This window comes from Homo sapiens, chromosome 20 (assembly GCF_000001405.40).
Source record: "Homo sapiens chromosome 20, GRCh38.p14 Primary Assembly".
NCBI lineage: Eukaryota > Metazoa > Chordata > Mammalia > Primates > Hominidae > Homo > Homo sapiens.
In genome coordinates, this window is record NC_000020.11 from 30,604,247 (window position 1) to 30,621,566 (window position 17,320).

General features: G+C 47.5%; 1 pseudogene across 1 annotated transcript in view; it reads right to left on the minus strand.

Moving 5' to 3' along the window:
* Positions 1–5,849: 5,849 nt before the first annotated feature.
* LOC112268265 (ankyrin repeat domain-containing protein 26-like) overlaps positions 5,850–17,320 on the minus strand; it is a 54,588-nt pseudogene continuing 43,117 nt past the window's right edge. Inside the window, exons 6-8 of the transcript XR_007067756.1 lie at positions 11,127–11,171; positions 6,576–11,029; positions 5,850–6,149 (exon numbers count right to left, since the gene is read on the minus strand). The product of XR_007067756.1 is annotated as an ankyrin repeat domain-containing protein 26-like (transcript). The remainder of the gene's footprint in view (positions 6,150–6,575; positions 11,030–11,126; positions 11,172–17,320) is intronic.

A 17,320-nucleotide genomic window follows, 5' to 3' on the forward strand; every position in this document is an offset into this window, starting at 1 on the left:
CCCCTCCCAGTGCCCTGCAAGAGTGTGCTGCAGTCAACGTTGTAGGTACAAACATCAAAACAATTCAGGACAATACCATAACTGCCCATTATTCTGAAAAACATCAAGACCCAAAATAAATGCTTGCTTGCAAATGAGTCATACGTACCTAAGGGAAACCTCCATCTACTTCTGAAATGCACATGAAGGATGTAGTAAGCAATATGAAAATTCATTTTCCAAATCACAAAATGAAAATGTTATCTGTCTGACTAGTGATTTAACTTTAAGTAAACAGTTTATATAAAAGGCCACACAAACTGCTTTTTACCATATGAGAAGCTGTGCAACATCACTTGTAGTAAGAAATGGAACCTACAACTGCAATAAGATTTCTCACCTATCCGGCTGGCGAAGGTCAAAAGTCTGGGGTGTGCCTGACATGTTCCTGCTGATATAGACCAACAAGCATTCTCTCATATTCTTGGCAAAAACACACATTAGTAAAAACTTCTTCAGTAGGAGCTGTTGGTATTTTAGACACAGACCCTGTTACATGTCCTCTCCCCACAGATACGTGGATCATGTGTATTCACTGCAGCAGCAATAGATTCAAGTCAAGATAAGTGTCCATTCTTGGGAGACTGAGAGGAATATTCTGGAGTGCCCACAAGGACAAATCCTGTATTTGCTGATCTGGAACAATTTCCAAGATGTATACTGTTCAGCAAAGAGCACAAGTTTGTAGAAGAGTATAGAGATACATCTTTTTTTGTGTGTGGAAGATTGAAGGAAATCCATAAATATGCCCTGTCTGTAATCAGAATGTTCTGGAAAGACACACAGGTCCCCGATTCCAGTGGCCATCTCTGGAGAGGCCACACTTTGGTGGCTGTGCTCAGCAGGGATAGAGGGCAGGCTTCTCATTGGAGACAAATTTTTGACTATTCAGTATTTTCCTATGTATATATATTGCTACCCATCAAGAAGTGTAAAGAATATTTTTAATCCTGGCGAGGCACAGCCGCTCATGCCTGTAATCCCAGCACTTTGGGAAGCCGAGACTGGAAGATGGCTTGAGTCCAGGAGTTCAGGACCAGCCTGGGCAAAAATGCAAGACTCCATTTCTTCAAAAAATAAAAATAAAAAAACAGCCAGGCATGGTAGCCTATGCCTATAGTCCTAGCTACTCTGGAGGCTGAGGTGGGAGGGTTACTTGAGCTCAGGAGTTCAAAGCTACATTAAGCTATGACCACAACAGTGCACTCCATCCTGAGTGAGAGAGCAAGACCCTCTATTAAAAAATAAAAGGGATATTTTTACCTTTTACCTCCTTTGCTAAGTATAATCTTAAGTTTAATCCAGAAAGACCCTCTGCCACAGAGAAAGCAGAGGTCTAGAGAACAGCATGAAGACAATAAGAGACTTGAGACTCACTTCTCCTTTGTCTTCAGGCCACAGAAAGCCAAAAGCATCTGAACATCTTCTTGGAGGCATTTTCCTAAAAGAGAGCTATTGAAACTTGAAGAAAAATGTGAATCGAGAAACTAAATTTAAAGATACATTATTTTCTCCAACCCTTCCTCACAAATTAACCACAGAATGAGTCTAGTGAGATAAAACATACCATTTACACAAAATACGGAAGTGATATGGTCTTTATGTGAGCAGAAATATGTTCAAATTTTACTCCTTAAATGTATTTTCTTTTACTACTAGAAATAGTAATTTTCACTTGATCATTACTTTATTTTATAATTATCTCAATTTAAATTTGTGTTAGCCTGCTCCTGGGTATCTACCTAAAGGGAAAGAAGTCATATGAAAAAGATGCTTGTACACACATTTATAGCAGCACAATTTGCGGTTGTAAAAATATGGAACCAGGTTAAGTGTCTATCAGCCAATGAGTGGACAAAGAAAATGTGGTATGTATACAGCATGGAATACTACTGAGCCCTAAAAAGGAACCAAATAATGGCATTTGCAGCAACCTAGATGGAGTTAGAGATGATTATTCTAAGTGAAGTAACTCAGGAATACAAAAAAACAAATATTGTGCATTCTCGCTTATAAGTGGGAGCTAAGCTATGAGGCTGTAAAGCATAAGAATGATATAATGGACTTTGGGGACTTGGAGGGAAGGTTGTGGGGGTGAGGAATAAAAGACTACACATTGGGTACAGTGTACATGACTCGAGTAATGGGTAAACCAAAATCTCAGAAATTACCACTAAATAACTTTTCCATGTAACCAGAAACCACCTGTTTCCCAAAAACTATTGAAATAAGGTAATATATATGAAAACAATGATAGTCTTGAGGTGCAATATTCACTAGGTTTTATATGGGAGAAAAACAGAGCTAAAATCAAACACATGGACAGGCAGTCAGAACAATGTCCATCATATGCAAAGTCAAATTAATATGAGGGCAAACATTCATGAGTGGAGTCCATTTGGAATAGACTGCAGTGAGGATGTATGCCTTAGGGCCCTCATAACTCATGTTAGGGAGAAAACATATAATTTTACTCAAAGTGAAAACATCTTTGCAAATAACTCAATCCACACTGCGCAGATGCAGTCCTGTACTGTAGAGAGTAAGAATAAGAATCATCAAAGTGGAAAAACCTCTGCCCCTGCTCCAAACTCTACTTCACACAGGAGTAGTACTACTGGAGAGAAAAGCCATACATGTCCCAAATGTGGGAAAGCCTTTACTTATCAGTCATTTCTCATGAGACATATGAAAATTCACACTGGAAAGAAACCTTACGAATATAACTAAAGTGGGAAAGCCTTTAGATATTCCCTACACCTTAATAAACATTTAAGAAAGAACATTATGGAGAAGCCTTTTGAATTTAAGGAATGTGGGAAAGACTTCAGCGAGCCTCAAGACATGCACATATAAGGAGTCGTGCTGGAAAGAAATCCTATAAATGTGACAGATGTGGAAAAGACTTTGCAAAGTCATTGGAATTAAAAGCTATCATCTTAAGAGATACAATAGTGAGAAGCCCTGTGAATGAAAGGTGGGAAAATCATCATTAATTTTTTCACCATACTGAACATGTAAGGAGGACATACTGGAAGGGAGCTCAACGAGTTAACATTCATGAGAACACCTTTCTGGAACTCTCATATCTTACAGAAGTGTGAAAAGAAACCCTGTGAAAGTAAAGTCTATGGAAAGCCTTTCATATTCATTCACCTTGAGTAGATATTTGTTCTCACACTGGAGCAAAACTATGAAAGTAAGGAATATGATAAAAAAAAGACTCATTATTACCTCAGACTCATAGTTCATACAAGAAGTCACACTGCAGAGACTTCTTCTGGAAGTAAAAAATGAAGAAAAGACCTCTTTAAACACGTATCCCTCCTGTTACACATGATTCCACACCCTGGAGGGAGACTACAATTGGAATAAATAAAGAAAGCTTTCAGTTCCAACTCCTCACTTATTGGGCATTAATGAGCACAGTATAGGACTGAAGCACTGTAAATGTGAACAATTGCTGCCATGCCATTATCATTGTCTTATCCCTCAATTAGAACTCAGATTCAGAAAATCTGTTTGGAAATGGGACAGTTATTGTTCCTCTTTTCTCTTAACCAAGTTCCCCTTGCTCTCTATGCTTGCTGCTCTCTGGAAATAGGATGAAATGCCCTGAGTCGGGTTTAGCACCTTGAAGACCATTGGACTGAAGGTCCCAATAACAAAACCTTCAAATTACAAAATTTCTCACTTCCCAATGGCATGTTGGGTATCCATGGCTGCCCTGGACTATTTCTGGACTTACTTCATGCAATTAACCCCTTGTAGAATTAAGAAACATTTTAGGAGAGATGTTTATAAGAGATTAAATGATAAACCTAAAAAATGAATAAAACATACTATAAAAATAAAGAGAACAAACCAAATGGGCTTGCAGATTCTGACTGGCCACATTCATCCTTGATGCTTGTCCCCATGGATGCCTCACCTACTGTGACACTTGGAGGGCTTGCAGCCATCACTCAAGGAATCAGAACACATTGGCCTCTACTGCAGCATCAGGGAACAAAGCAAAAACAGCCTCTCAGCTCTCAAGAGACACACTTATGTGTATAAACATATGTTATATAAATTTATCCAGTGACTTTGAGATGTCTTACACTAAATGGATAAAATTAATTAAAACTAGCGCAAATTTCTGGCAACAGCACTCCAACTCCCCATTGTTTATCCAGGGCATTGAAAATTGGCACACATCACAGATCCTTAAGTCATTCTCTGAATCAGCAGGAGAAAAGAGGAGAACAGAGGGAGCTCACTGTATGTGCCAGGCACTGGGCTGACAGCTGTGCCTACATCATCCCACTTGATGCTTGCCGTAACCCTGCAAGATAAAAGTAAAGTAAAAACACACACACACAAACTCACACATATACGCACATGCTCAAGCACACACTAGAAACTACAGAACAAAGAAAGCATTGGCAACTAATAGAAGTATAGTGCTGGCCAAGCACAGTGGCTCATGCCTATAATCTCACCACTTTAGGCCAGGAGTTCAAGACAAGCCTGGGCAACATAGCAAGACACCATCTCTACAACACATTTTCTAAGATAGAAATTATTTTTAGAAAGATATAATGCCTAAGGGCTCAGGGAAGCAATACCTTTATGACTGTATGGTAAGCATCAGGCAAGGCTGCTTATCAGACCAAAGTGGTAGTGATTCCAGGGTTCTTTTGCACACTTAGCTAGGAACCTGGTTCACTTTACCCTTTCTACAGCTCTAAAGCTCTGGCAGGTGGGACCTAAGCATAAGAGAAAGTGATATTATGCAGAACTCTCTTGACTTCAAGTGAGTCCTTGACTCACTTAACCTAACCCGATCCAGCAGAACATTGAATTATTTGTCTATCACAACTAAAAATATCCAGGAGTAGATGGCTTCTGGCTCAGTGGGATCAGGGGTCAGCTAATTTCAACCAAGACTCATTCCGTCCCTTCATTTCCTGGGCCAGCTCTGCTTTTCAGAGAGGCTATTTTGAGAGAGCAGCAAAAATGGCCCCATATATTTCTTATCACTTACTTCCTTGCAAGTAGCTATTCCAATAAAAAGAAAGCACCCTATTCAAGGCCGTTTCATCAAAAGTGCAGGGATGGCTTCCATGAGCCCAGCTTGGATCACATGCCCATCCCTGAATGAATTACCCTGCTGATCTGATTGCCGAGGGTAGGTCAGCCCTTCCCAAAGCACATGGACTAGAAATGGAATAGTGGTCCTCCCATGAAAAAAAAAAAAAAAAAAAAGAAAGAAAGACAGCATAGTGGGAAAGGAATATGGATGGGATGGTCTCATCTCTATATAAAAAGTATGACCGTATTGGTGGTCTTTTGCACACTCATTTATATAGTCACTGGGAAAAAAATTGAGAAAAACTCACACATGAGTTTCTATATGCCTCTGTGCTTTGTTTTCAACACCAAGCTGTGATAAATTTAATTATTAAAACAAAACTTTGAAAAGAAATAACAATTTGGACAATGGGGACACTTAGCTGATGCAGCACAGGTGAGCAGTTCTTCTTTTGTGCCCAGGAAGACACAATTCCCAGGAGCCCACCTGTGGTCTCCTAAGACAAGCATGCAGACTGCCCACAGGCTGCAGTTCCACCTTTCCTTTCCTGGACTCTTAGGAATAAACAAGTTCTGAATTCAGCTGACCTGAGTTCAAATTCAGGCTCTCTGACTCACTGGGTAAGTCTCTTGCTCTCCTTGAGTCCCATATCCTCCTTGGAAAAATGGAGGGGTAGAGTTGTTACGTTTTGAAGGCAAGGCGAGGGTTAAAGAAAGACAGAGAGAGACAGTTGGCGGCTTCAACAGCAACACTTTTATTGCCAACAAAACCCTGAGGAGGGGTGAACCAGCTTAGTGCCAGCGCCAACTGCCGCTCACAGGCTGAGGTAATCATGGGATGGGAGGGAGGGGTCTGGGTGGTAGAGCTTGCTGCCCAGCAGGAAACGGCAAGGATGTCCCTGCAGTCAGGCTGTTGGACCTTTGCCTGGGAGGATGCGATAAGGATGTTCCTGCAGTCATGTGGTTAGGAAGGATGTTTCTCACAGCCCGAGTTCCCATGGAATGTTTCACTGTGACCAGGGTCTGCAAAATGGCTGGGGGTTTACAAAATGGTACAGGTTAGGCTAACAGTAACATCTCCCAGGTAAACAGTTCTTCAAAGTAAACTTCCCCTTAGCATTTACACTGTAGTAGTAGACATGGTGCCAGGACCCAGGCCACAGGACGAACAGGACAGATGAGGCCCCTGCCATCCTAGTGTTCATGTCTGATGAAGGAAGCTAACAGGTCATAAGACCAAATCAGATGGTGGTGGTAATCAAAGACATTACCAGAGTGAGAAGAACTAGAAACAAACTGAGGAAGCTGTTCCAAACACAGTGAAAGGGAGAGACCCCTCGAAGAGGTGACTTTTGAGCAGAAACCTGAAAGATGTGGAGGAGGCAATGGAGAAGGACCAGCCCCTGGAGCCATCCCAGCAGTAAAGACCCAGCACCAGGTGGGCAATTGAATGTCCTGACCTGTGTGTCCTTCATGCTTCCTTCCTCAGTGGTGCACAAAGGGAAACATGGGGTAATTTCACGCAGGGTCCATGGAGGAATCAAGAAGCAGCTGCGCTGCAGAGCTGGGGTGGGGATGAAATCTGGCCCAACAGTGAAGCTAGAAGCAGGTGCATGAAGCATAACCAGCCCCTGAAGTCACATCCATGGCCAGACCAGCTGGCCGGGCTGCCAACATCTTAGTAGAGATCCCTGGAAATCAGATGAGCTGGTTAGGGGGGTAATAAAAAAGCTGGAAAGCTTCAGAAAATTCCAGAGGACACATGACACTTAGCATGAACTTTCCCCGAGTGGGATCTGTTTGGCATTGCTGGTTCTAAAGAGTCGGTACCACCACTCCCACCTGCCCATTACCCCACCAGGGAAACACTCAGGGTACAGTCCACAGAAACAATCCCTGTGGAATTGAAAAGGGTGTTTCTCATCCCAAACCAAGGGAGGGGACCCAGAAAACCACTCATAAAGAGCAGAGGGGCCTGCTGGGAGAGACAGGGTTCTGCTGCTCATTTGGGTATCTGCTTCCCAGCGGGAAAGGGGACCATGCAGGATAGAGCGGCTAAGGGGAACCTGGGCTGTCGGGCCAGGAGAGCCGGTGCTGACTCACTGTTGGAGGTGAGCCACAATAGGAGGCTTAGAAACCCTCCCGGCAGCCTCTCCAGTCTAATAAGGGGATGGTAGTGTTGGTCAGTAGGGGCATCCAGACGCAGTCAAAGGGCAAGAGAGTGATGTCTCCTCTGGCGTCCCCTTTCAGCTGCAGATTCTCCCTATGAGTTCCTGAGAAAGCTTCTCTATGGCTCCACAAGACTGGGGGGTGGTGACAGTTCCCAGATGACCCTAACCCCAGGGCCTTGTGCCATCCCTCCTCGTTCCCCCTGATCCTGCCCACGCCGTTGTAAACAGCTCCTTCTTAATGGCCCGTCAGCTGATGAGAGTTTCCTGCCAGCACCTGACTGCCACACTGCTTTGCCAAAGGGACCAGGCTCCTCGGCACAGGAGCTGAGGTTCTACAGGCACAGAGAAAACACTGTCTGAACGTTGGAATGGAGTCGGGAGCGGAAAAAAGAATGTTTGTTCTCAATGCTTACACTTACCAATTGTTTCCTTTTATCACATGAAGACTGTGTGTCATTTTGAAGTAGAATTAGTAATCTACATAATTACAAATTATGTTCTTAAAATAAACTGCTCAGTGCCATGCTTGACACAAGGTGGAACTCCATTATGAGATGTGTGAGAAACCAGGGTGCCATGGTTACAGACAAGGACACTAGGTGCAGACTGCTTGCTTCAAACCTGGACAAGCAGAACGAATTTCGGCAACTCTCTTGTATTGCTCTTTGCCCCAGTTTTTTTCACCTAAAAACTAAAAGTAAAAACAAGGTTATTGTGAAAATTAAATGAATTAAAGTAAGCAAAGTACCTACAACAACACCCCGAGGCACAGTCAGCCCTGAGCATGTTTTTCATTATTACTCTTAATGAGGTAAGAATGAGAACACAGGCACCAACCATGAGCCTCTGGCACAGGCATCAGAGACCAAATTTTTAACAGCCTCCATTCATTCATTTGACCCTGATAAGAGAGAAGTCTCATGCCAGAGGAGCAAGCATCCACCTTGGGACCAGACAGCCTATGGTCAAAGTTGAACTCCACCACTGTTCAGCTGTGTGACTTTGGGCAAGTGACTTTCCCTCTCTGATCCTCAGCACAATCACAGGTCTATGAGGATTGTAGGAGCTGACTGAAAAATGTGTGTCTTAGTTTGAGTTTCCTGGAAGTAGATCCAGAGGAAAAGATTCAGATACAAAAATTTTGTTTGGAGATGACTCTCGGACAGTAATTCTACTGCCAGTTCTTCCTTAGGGTGGTAATCCCAGGAAACACCAGAAGAGGAGTGGGGAACTGAGACAGGAAAGGAATGCAGCAGTTAAAGGGACCTTCATCAGGAAAGTTTCCACTGTGGCAGCCAAGACTCAGCCCTGCCAGGTACTTCTGAGAGACAGCACAGAACATGTATCTCAGAGTCATCCCACCAAAAGCAAGGGAGCTGGGATATTTATCCACCAATACCCACCAGTCACTCCTCAGGGCTCCTTCCAAAGACATGATTCCTCCTGAACGCCCTGCCTGCACTGCAAGGGTTAGACCTTGGGTTGAGGGCAGGGGAGCTGACAACACCTCCAGCAATGAGCAGGAACACAGGCTGGTGTGGACTGTTTCAGTCACTCAGTGACTCCAACACACACACACACACACCCCACACTCCAACACCAATACAGGGCATATGTACATACACATACATGCATACATGACTGTTACCTGCTTCAATCCTGGTGAATCCATGGGATCGATGATAAGGTGGGAATCAGAGGGAAGAGCAAAATAAAGGGGAGTGAAGGTCTTAGGAACAAAATGCAAATATAGGCAGAAAATCAAGGGGGAAGAGGAGTGGTCTGGACACCAAATGCTGGCTGGGTGCCACCTGCTCTACATTCACTGTCAGGCATTCCCCAAGCAGCTTTGTGAGGTAGAAGAAATTCCCCTCAATTTACAGGTGGCAGAAATGTAGTTCAGAAAAGAAAACTGATTTTATTAATGTCTTACAGAGTTAGTGGGTGATAGATATGTTTCTGTCCACAAAGCCTACAAATTTTCCTCATTATGCAGGCTGGGTACCAGGCCTTGCTTCTGGGCTCTGCTACTTTTCCTGCTAGGCAATCATGGCAGAATTGACAAAAACATTTTCCCCCTTCACCACCTGGAGCAGAGCCAATGAGAAGGGCTGGAGAACAGGCCATGAGGCCCTGCACTCACCATTCAATGTCTTCAGGACTGTGGTCCCTCAGGACTCTTGCACCATGTTCTAGCAGCACTCCTGGTGTCTGGGGGTCTTGTGAGGTTGTACAGGATCCAGTAGAGGCCACTGGCTGTGCTGTCATATTCTAAAGGTGGCCAGGCAGGTTTGTGTCTCTTGGCTGCTTCAGTACCAGAGGATGGAGAGTGCCAACGCAGTGAGGCCCTCGGTAGAATGGGAGGAGGGAAGGAAAGGGCAGAATGGAGTGATGTAGGGTCCATCCACCATGTCCCTGGATGGAGAGACCCCTGTTCTCATAGTAGCCCCACACCAGGACCACCACTGGCATTCATGAACAGGCCAGCCTCCATTTACACGTCCTCATCTGACAACTCCTTCCCATTTTCATCCTGGAGACAAGACCTCTGAACACACTAGCTCTGAGGGCACCTGATTGTAACCTGAGACAGTCTCTGGAGACTGTTCATCCAAGCAGGATCCCTCCCTTGCCATCTCCAGACCTCCCCCACAAGCTCCCTCCCTGGTCTGCTCTTGTTCACTCATTCCAGTCAGCCTTCTACAGTCATCTCTAACACGTATCTGACTGGCCCCTCCTTTATCCAGCACCTTCCATGGCTCCCCAAAGCACTCCAGATCAAGTTCAAGTTCTTTGATCGGACAGTTGATCTCAAGCTGCATTCTACCTCCTGAATTAAGATCCCGGAGAAGCCCACTTGCTCAGGATGATGGTGTCTGAAGTTGTGCACCAAGTCACAGGCCTTGTAGAAGCATCACCCCTCAGGAATGGGTACACTGGCGGCAATATAGTCACTGGATTCCTGCAGGGTGAGGCTGGGGAGAGGAAGTAGCTCCATAACACATATGAAACCCTGGAAACCCTTCCCAGCAAAAATCTCAGGACCACGTTACATGCAGAAATGGGTGCCCTCTGAGCACACTTCTCTCTGCCTCCCACTCTGAGCTCCCTCCAGGCCCCACATGCCCCATCCTGGACCAGGGCTTGGAGCCAGCAGGTGTTCAGTCCATGGTATTGACTGCTTCCTGGGCCAGGAGAGCCCTTGGTGGCTCTGTGACTCCTCCTGTGGAACCCCTGACTCTGCCTTGGGACCTCCCAATTCCCGTGGGAAGCCCCCATGGCTATGGATTGCCACACCTGCCCTGGGATCCTCCAACCCCATAAGACTTACTTAATGCCTTAGCCCTCCTAGAATATGACGTGTTTCTCAGAAGGTGACTTATCTCCAGGGCCATCTCTGGATGTTTGCTGGGGACCTCTTACTGTTCTCCTTTCTGATCTGCAGGGCAGGGCCCAGAGGAGAAAGCAGCCCAACCGCAGAATGAACAAAGGGCTCACTGCCACAAACAACAAGCACCAGTCAGCAGTGCTTCTGGAAGGAAAGGAGGTTTCATTCTGCAGAAAGCTCCTTGTTTGGCTTCTTTCTGAAGCCAGGAAGGGGTACTAAGCCCAGCTTACCTGTGGTGCCTACGTTACCATCTGTGCCTAGGATGTGCAATGGGCCCTTGCTCCCACTGCAGGGTTGACGTTCCCTCCAGCTGGAGACCTGGTCTCCTGACATCGCCTGGCCTGTTTGTCCTGCTCTGGATGAGCGTGGAAAGTCTGTACCTGGTATTTTCCTAGGTCCTTGGTTTACACCTTCTAGATATCCAGCAGGATTGACCTTGCCCAGCCCCATACCTGAAAGGGGTCTCCCTTGAGGAGCAGCCGAGGACCGGGACTCCCCTCCCACGATTCAAAGAGTGGATGAGTGCTCAGCGTCGGGAAATCTGATCTAGACCTATTTTTTCATTTAGGTCACCAAGAGACAACCCCTAACCCCTGAGCTAGGGATGGTGCCAGCTCTGGCATGAGATTCTCTTCCAGCAATGTGATGCTTGCAGGGACAGGCCGAAACCTGGTGACCAGGTCTGCTGTCCTCTGGGTAAGGACAGTGTGCTACTCAACCTCAGAGAGACAGGTGGTGCCAGGACACAGCACTGGGTGCCTGTACCCCTGGCTCTGCAGATATCAGTCATGGAGTTCCTGCCCTCTCCACATTACCTTCTTGCTGCTCCTAGATTTCTTCTAGTCATTAAGCACTTCCAGTCATTTTTCTGTGCATCCAATCTGACATTTTTGTTGTCAGATGAAACACAATAAAGTAAGCTGAGCCACCAGGATTCCTGGAGGGGACCTTGGATGCTGGGTCTTGGGCTCCAGGGCCCTGATGGGACTGAATCAGAAGTAGCCAGGGAAGGATAAACACTGGGGCTGAGCCCCTATGACACAATGGCCATTGTTGGCCTGGCCTTATGGCCCCAAGACACACTGTCCTCAGGCCACAGGCACCATGGGTTTTGGTCAGGTCCCAGCCTCCCAATAGTGTCCTGGCACTAGCAGGTGCTGACCCCTGAGCCACAACCACAGTTCTGGGTTTGGGATTTAGTAAAACCACCTCAGGGGCAGAGTTCTGGGGCTGGGTTTGGCAGGAACTATGGTGACTCCCAGGGATGGTGTGTCACTTCTACTTGCCACCAAATGTGCACATAGGCTGTCCCCCAAGACCAGCTCATCCTACTGGACAGAATGGAGGAAGTCAGGGAACAGGCAGAGTGGACAGCTGGGGTGCAGGCAGAGGCAGGTGCATGCTGGGAGGTCAGGCCCTGTGAGGGCTGCGGGGATGTCAGGTGGAGTGGATTCCAGGTGCACCCTCAGTGCACTCAGCAGGTCTCAGTCCAGGCCCTCTGGACCATGGCTGGGTGATGTGGTCACTCCCTGGGGTACTACTGTCAGACCCTGGCCACCCACCCTGGGAAGCACCGTCCCATCCCAGGACTGGACTTTCTGAGTCCTGAGACAGGACAGTGCTGTCCAGGCCTGACAGACTGGGAGAACCTGCCAAGTCCTCCATCCCTAGAACAGCCTCCCACACAGCAAGGACAATCTCTTACCTTCACCTTCAGGGCACTAACTGATCCTTCTCACTCTGAGGCAACAAAGGCAGAGCTGAGGACCTGCACCAGGCTGGGAGCCAGTCCCCTCCCTAAGTGGGCCTGAGGGAAGCACCATCCCTGTCCCAATCCGCCACTAGTTTCCACCCAGGAGACACATAGGGAAGGGAGGAGGGGGCCTACCAGCTGGCTGATACTGGAAAAGTGGGACCTGGGAGAAGAGGGAGTGCAGGGCTGGCAGGGGATGCTCCAGGCCCATGGAGAGCTCGGGCTGCACCATGGTGCTGCCCCTCCTGGGCTGGAGGCTGTGCCCTCTGCAGGAACTGAGAAAGTCCAATCCTGAGATGGGACAACACTGCCCAGGGTGGTTGGCCAGGGCCTGACAGTAGTCCCCCAGGGAGTGACCACATCACCTGGCTGGGGTCCAGGGAGCCTGGGGTGAGACCTACCCAGTGCACTGAGAGTGCACCTGGAGCCCACCTCACCTGATGCCCCCACAGCCCTAACAGGGTCTGACCTCCCAGCATGCACCTGCCTCTCCCTGAACCCCAACTGCCCACCCTGCCTGTTACCTGGCCTCCTCCATCCTGTGCAGCCCATAGACTGTGACCATCTCTCCAGCCACTCTGGCCCTTCCTTTACCGTTGTCCTCTCAGAATCTCTGAGCAGGATCTCCCAGGTCCATCCAAACACATGCTTTGTCCACTTTTGACTGGGCCCTTGGGTACCACTGGGCTACCCCAGCTGTCCACAGGGCCTTCAATAATGCACATTGCACCTGGCTTATCCAAGCAGTGCTCAGTAGCCCACATTGACCAGGTCCCTGCTGACCAGACCCTGCAAATCAGGTCCTCCCTGATGACACCCTCACTGATTAGACCCTCATGACCAGACCCCACTAACAAGGCCCCCACTGCCAGGCACACAATGACAAGGACTCCACTGACCAGGACCTTACTGACAAGGCCTCACTGACAAGGCCTCAAGGACCAAGTCCTTACTGACAAGTCCTCACTGACTAGGTCATTATTGACAAGGCCTCACTGATCAGGTTCCACTGATCATGACCTCATTCCCTGGCCCCAAAGATGAGGCCCCACTGACCAGGCCTCCAGGGAACAGGTTGCCACTGATCAGGCCGCTACTAACCAGGCCTAAGGTCACCAGATGCCCCTGACTGGGACCCTAGTGAGTAGACCCCACTGAACAGGCATGTAATGCTCAGATCCCTGCTGACCAGGTCACCCTGTAGACCAGTGCTACAAAAGTCACCACTGACAAAGTCCTCTCTGACCAGGACCCTACTGATTAGGTCCTACTGACAAGGCTGCCCTGACCAGGGACCCACCGACAAGGGCCTCACTGATGAGGACACGCCCACCAGGCTCTGCTGACTGGGTCCCATGTGCCCAGTCCTCCACTGAATAGCACCCCTTGACCTGTCACCAGTGCCCCAGCCCATGCTGACCAGGCCAGCACTAAGTCCCAGATGACCAGGTCTCCACTGATCAAGCCCCACAGCCCAGGTTTGCACTGACCAGACACCAAACATCTGGCAGCCAATAGGTCCCCACTCACCAAAACCCCTAAAACTTGATCCCACTAATAAGACCCTCTCTAAGCAGACCCCTGCTGACCACGATCCCACTAAATAGGCCTCACTGACCTACCACTGACCAGGCCCACAATGATCAGGCTCCTCCTAACCACACCGGAAATCCAAGCGGCAATGATATGTTTCATATGGCAGAAGTTGGAGCAAGACAGAGAGACGAAAGAGGTTCCACAGCCTTTTAAACTACTAGATCTCATGAGAACTCACTCACTATCAGGAGGATGGCATTAAGGTCTTGGTGCTTTACCATTTGTGAAGGATCTACTCCCACCCCTTTATGATTAAAGCTTTCTCCACCTAGGCCCCGACTCTAACATTAGGGAGTGTATTTTCACATGAGTTTTGGAAGGGGCATAGAGAAAAACCGTATTATTCTGTCCCTGACACCACAAATCTCATGTCCTTCTCACATTGCAAAATACAGTCATGCCTTGCCAGCAGTCTCCCAAAGTCTTAACTCGTTTCAGCATTAACTCAAAGTTACAAAGTACAAAGTCTCATCTGGGTCAAGGCTACATTCTCTTTTTCCTACGAGTCTCTGAAATAAAAAGCAAGTTCACTGCGTCTAAAGTAAAATGATGGTACAGGCATTGTGTAAGCTTTCCATATCCAAAAGGAAGACATTTTCCAGAAATCTTCTTATTTTTATCTAGGCCCCCTCAGCCTGGCCTTCACTGTCCATGTTTCTGTCAACATTCTTGTCACAACCATTTAACCAGTCTCTAAGATGGCCCAAAAATGTTCTCATCTGTCTGTCTTCTTTTGAGCCTTCCAAACTCTTCCAACCGCTAACCATTACCCAGTTCCGAAGCCGCTTCCACATTTTTAGGTATCTTTATAGCAAAGCTCCAGTCCTCATTTGCCATTTTTGGTATGATTTATTTTGAAAAAGAGGTTTAATTGGCTCATGGTTCTGCAGGGTGGACAGGAAGCACAGTGCTTCTGCTTCTGGGGGGTCTCAGAAATCTTTCAATCATTGCACAATGCAATGAAAGAGCAAATTGTCTCACAATGCAAGAGGAAATCACGGAGAGTAGGGAGTGATATAGAGTTTTTAGTGGCCAGATCTCACGAGGTCACTCATGATTGTGATGAGGACAGTACCAAGGGGATGGTGCTGAACCATTCATGAGAAGTTTGCCTTCATGATTCAATCACCTTATACCAGGATCCACCTCCAACATTAGGAAATATAACACAACATGAGATGTGGTGGGGACACATATTCAAATTGCATCATCAGTCTTTGAGTATAAAGACATCCACAGCAGGCTTTATCCAGCCAGCTTCTTTGAGACTTTTTATAGGACTTGAGGTCTATAGCATATCCACTAAAATATTCCTACTTCAAAAGGCAATAAAGTAAGTGGTATTATCATTCTTCAAAAAGTTACCATGGTAGTGTAGGCATTCATAGTATGACTTAGTTCATTTGCTGCTGTTTCTATTCTATCACCATATTAACACTATCCTACACAATTCTATATTCAGCTGGGTTTCACTTGAGCACAAAATCATCCTTGTACTACCACCGATAGCTGGCACTAGCTCTTTGATACTGTTATCATTCTGCTGTAGAAAGTACCTGTGAACTGGAAAAAGTTCACAATCGAATAACTAGTTATTCAACACTATCAAATTTTAGGTGACTTTTTGAAAAAATAGTATCTCTTGTTGCAAGAAATGCTCCATCTGTGATTTCAAGTCTCTCACTTGAGTGAATTGGATGGAAGTGGTGAATTTCAGCCAAAGTGGCCAAAGAAATCCTGTTCCTGTGATAATGACACCATCAGCCTCTGTACCTCTGTCTTCCCTTCTGCCACATGTTGCCTGTTGTCCGTGACTTTGGTAAGAGCTTCCTTGTGTACGAGGATGATGTCCAGGATGTTGGTCTGGTGTCCCTGAGACAGCACTAACAGGTCCATGCCTGGGTCCAGGTCCTTCCTGGACTGATTGGCAAAGAGCTCACTGATGTTCTTGAAGGCATCTCTGCTTAAGTGGATGGCCTAGTCAAGCTCCAAGGCCTGGCTGAGGCTGAAGAAAAACTGGCCGCCTTCTGAAGCTCTTTCTAAAAGCCTGTCACTGTCATCTGCTTGCATGTCAACTCATTGGCTGTGAGGTTGAGCTGAGTGGCCTGTGTCCATCTTCTTGGGGAAGCATTTGAAGCCATCAATCTTGCTCTCCCACCCCTAAAGGTTGATGGTCCCCACCTGGGGGTGTGCTGAGGGTCAGAAAGAAGCCAGCACTCACCATCTCATCCTTCTCAGCCTTCCTCTTGCACTCTCTCCAGGCTGTCTCTTCAGTGCTGGTGGGATACATCAGAAAGTGATGGAAGATGTGGCACTGTGCCCACACCCAGAAGCTGGCCATGTGGTTGGCTCATCCACCAGAATGGACGCTCTGGTTGCTCTTTGAGCCAGCTTGGCCTTGACTGGCATGCACAGGCCCCAGGTATAGATACGTTGCTCTGAGTGAACTTCTCCTGCCTTGGGCCAAATTCTGTCAGGCCAGTCCCACGGGTGGTAATCCTGGCTGTTTTCTGCACTTCAACATAAAGACCTCCTGAAGATGGCCTGTGGTCTGCCTCTTTGCAACCAAGAAGCCCGCAGTGCCATATGAGCCCTGAGGCATGGACTGGAGCCCCTGAGGCAGCACACACCCTGCTCCTGAGCCTGCTGCTCAATTTCTCTGTGTGGCTCCATTTGTGTCACAGTTGTTGCACTGACTTGTGCATGCCGGGGAAGGCCAAGCTGGCTCAAAAAGCAACCGACCACCTCTGCAAGGGTGTGCCTGGAGCTGGTGGACCAGCCACCAACCTGACTTGCTGCCGGTCGGGGTACATCAGTTCTTCTACCCTACAGGTAGGGCCACAGTGTTATCTGCTTTTCCTCAGGCCTCTGCTCCATCAGCCATCAGGAGGCAGCCCCTCAGGCTATAGGAATCTGGCCATCCCTGCTTCCTTGAGTGGGTGAGGTTGGTGGCTGCTCCACCTGCTCCAGGCACACCCTTGCAGAGGTGGCTGATTCCTCTTTGAGCCAGCTTGGCCTTGCCTGGCATGCACAGGCCCCAGCTACCTATATGCTGTTCCAAGTCAGCTTGTACTGTGTTGGGCCAAATTCTACCTCTGGCCAGGGCCACAGAAGGCCGAGTCCCCTGGGTGCTAATCCTGGCTGCTTTCTGCACTTGAACATAAAGTCTTCCTCAAGACCGCCTGTGGTCTGCCTCTTGGCGACCAAGAAGCCTACAGTGCCATACAAGCCCTGAGGCATGAACTGGAGCCACAAAGGCAGTGCACGCCCCATTCCTGAGCCTGCTGATCATTTCCT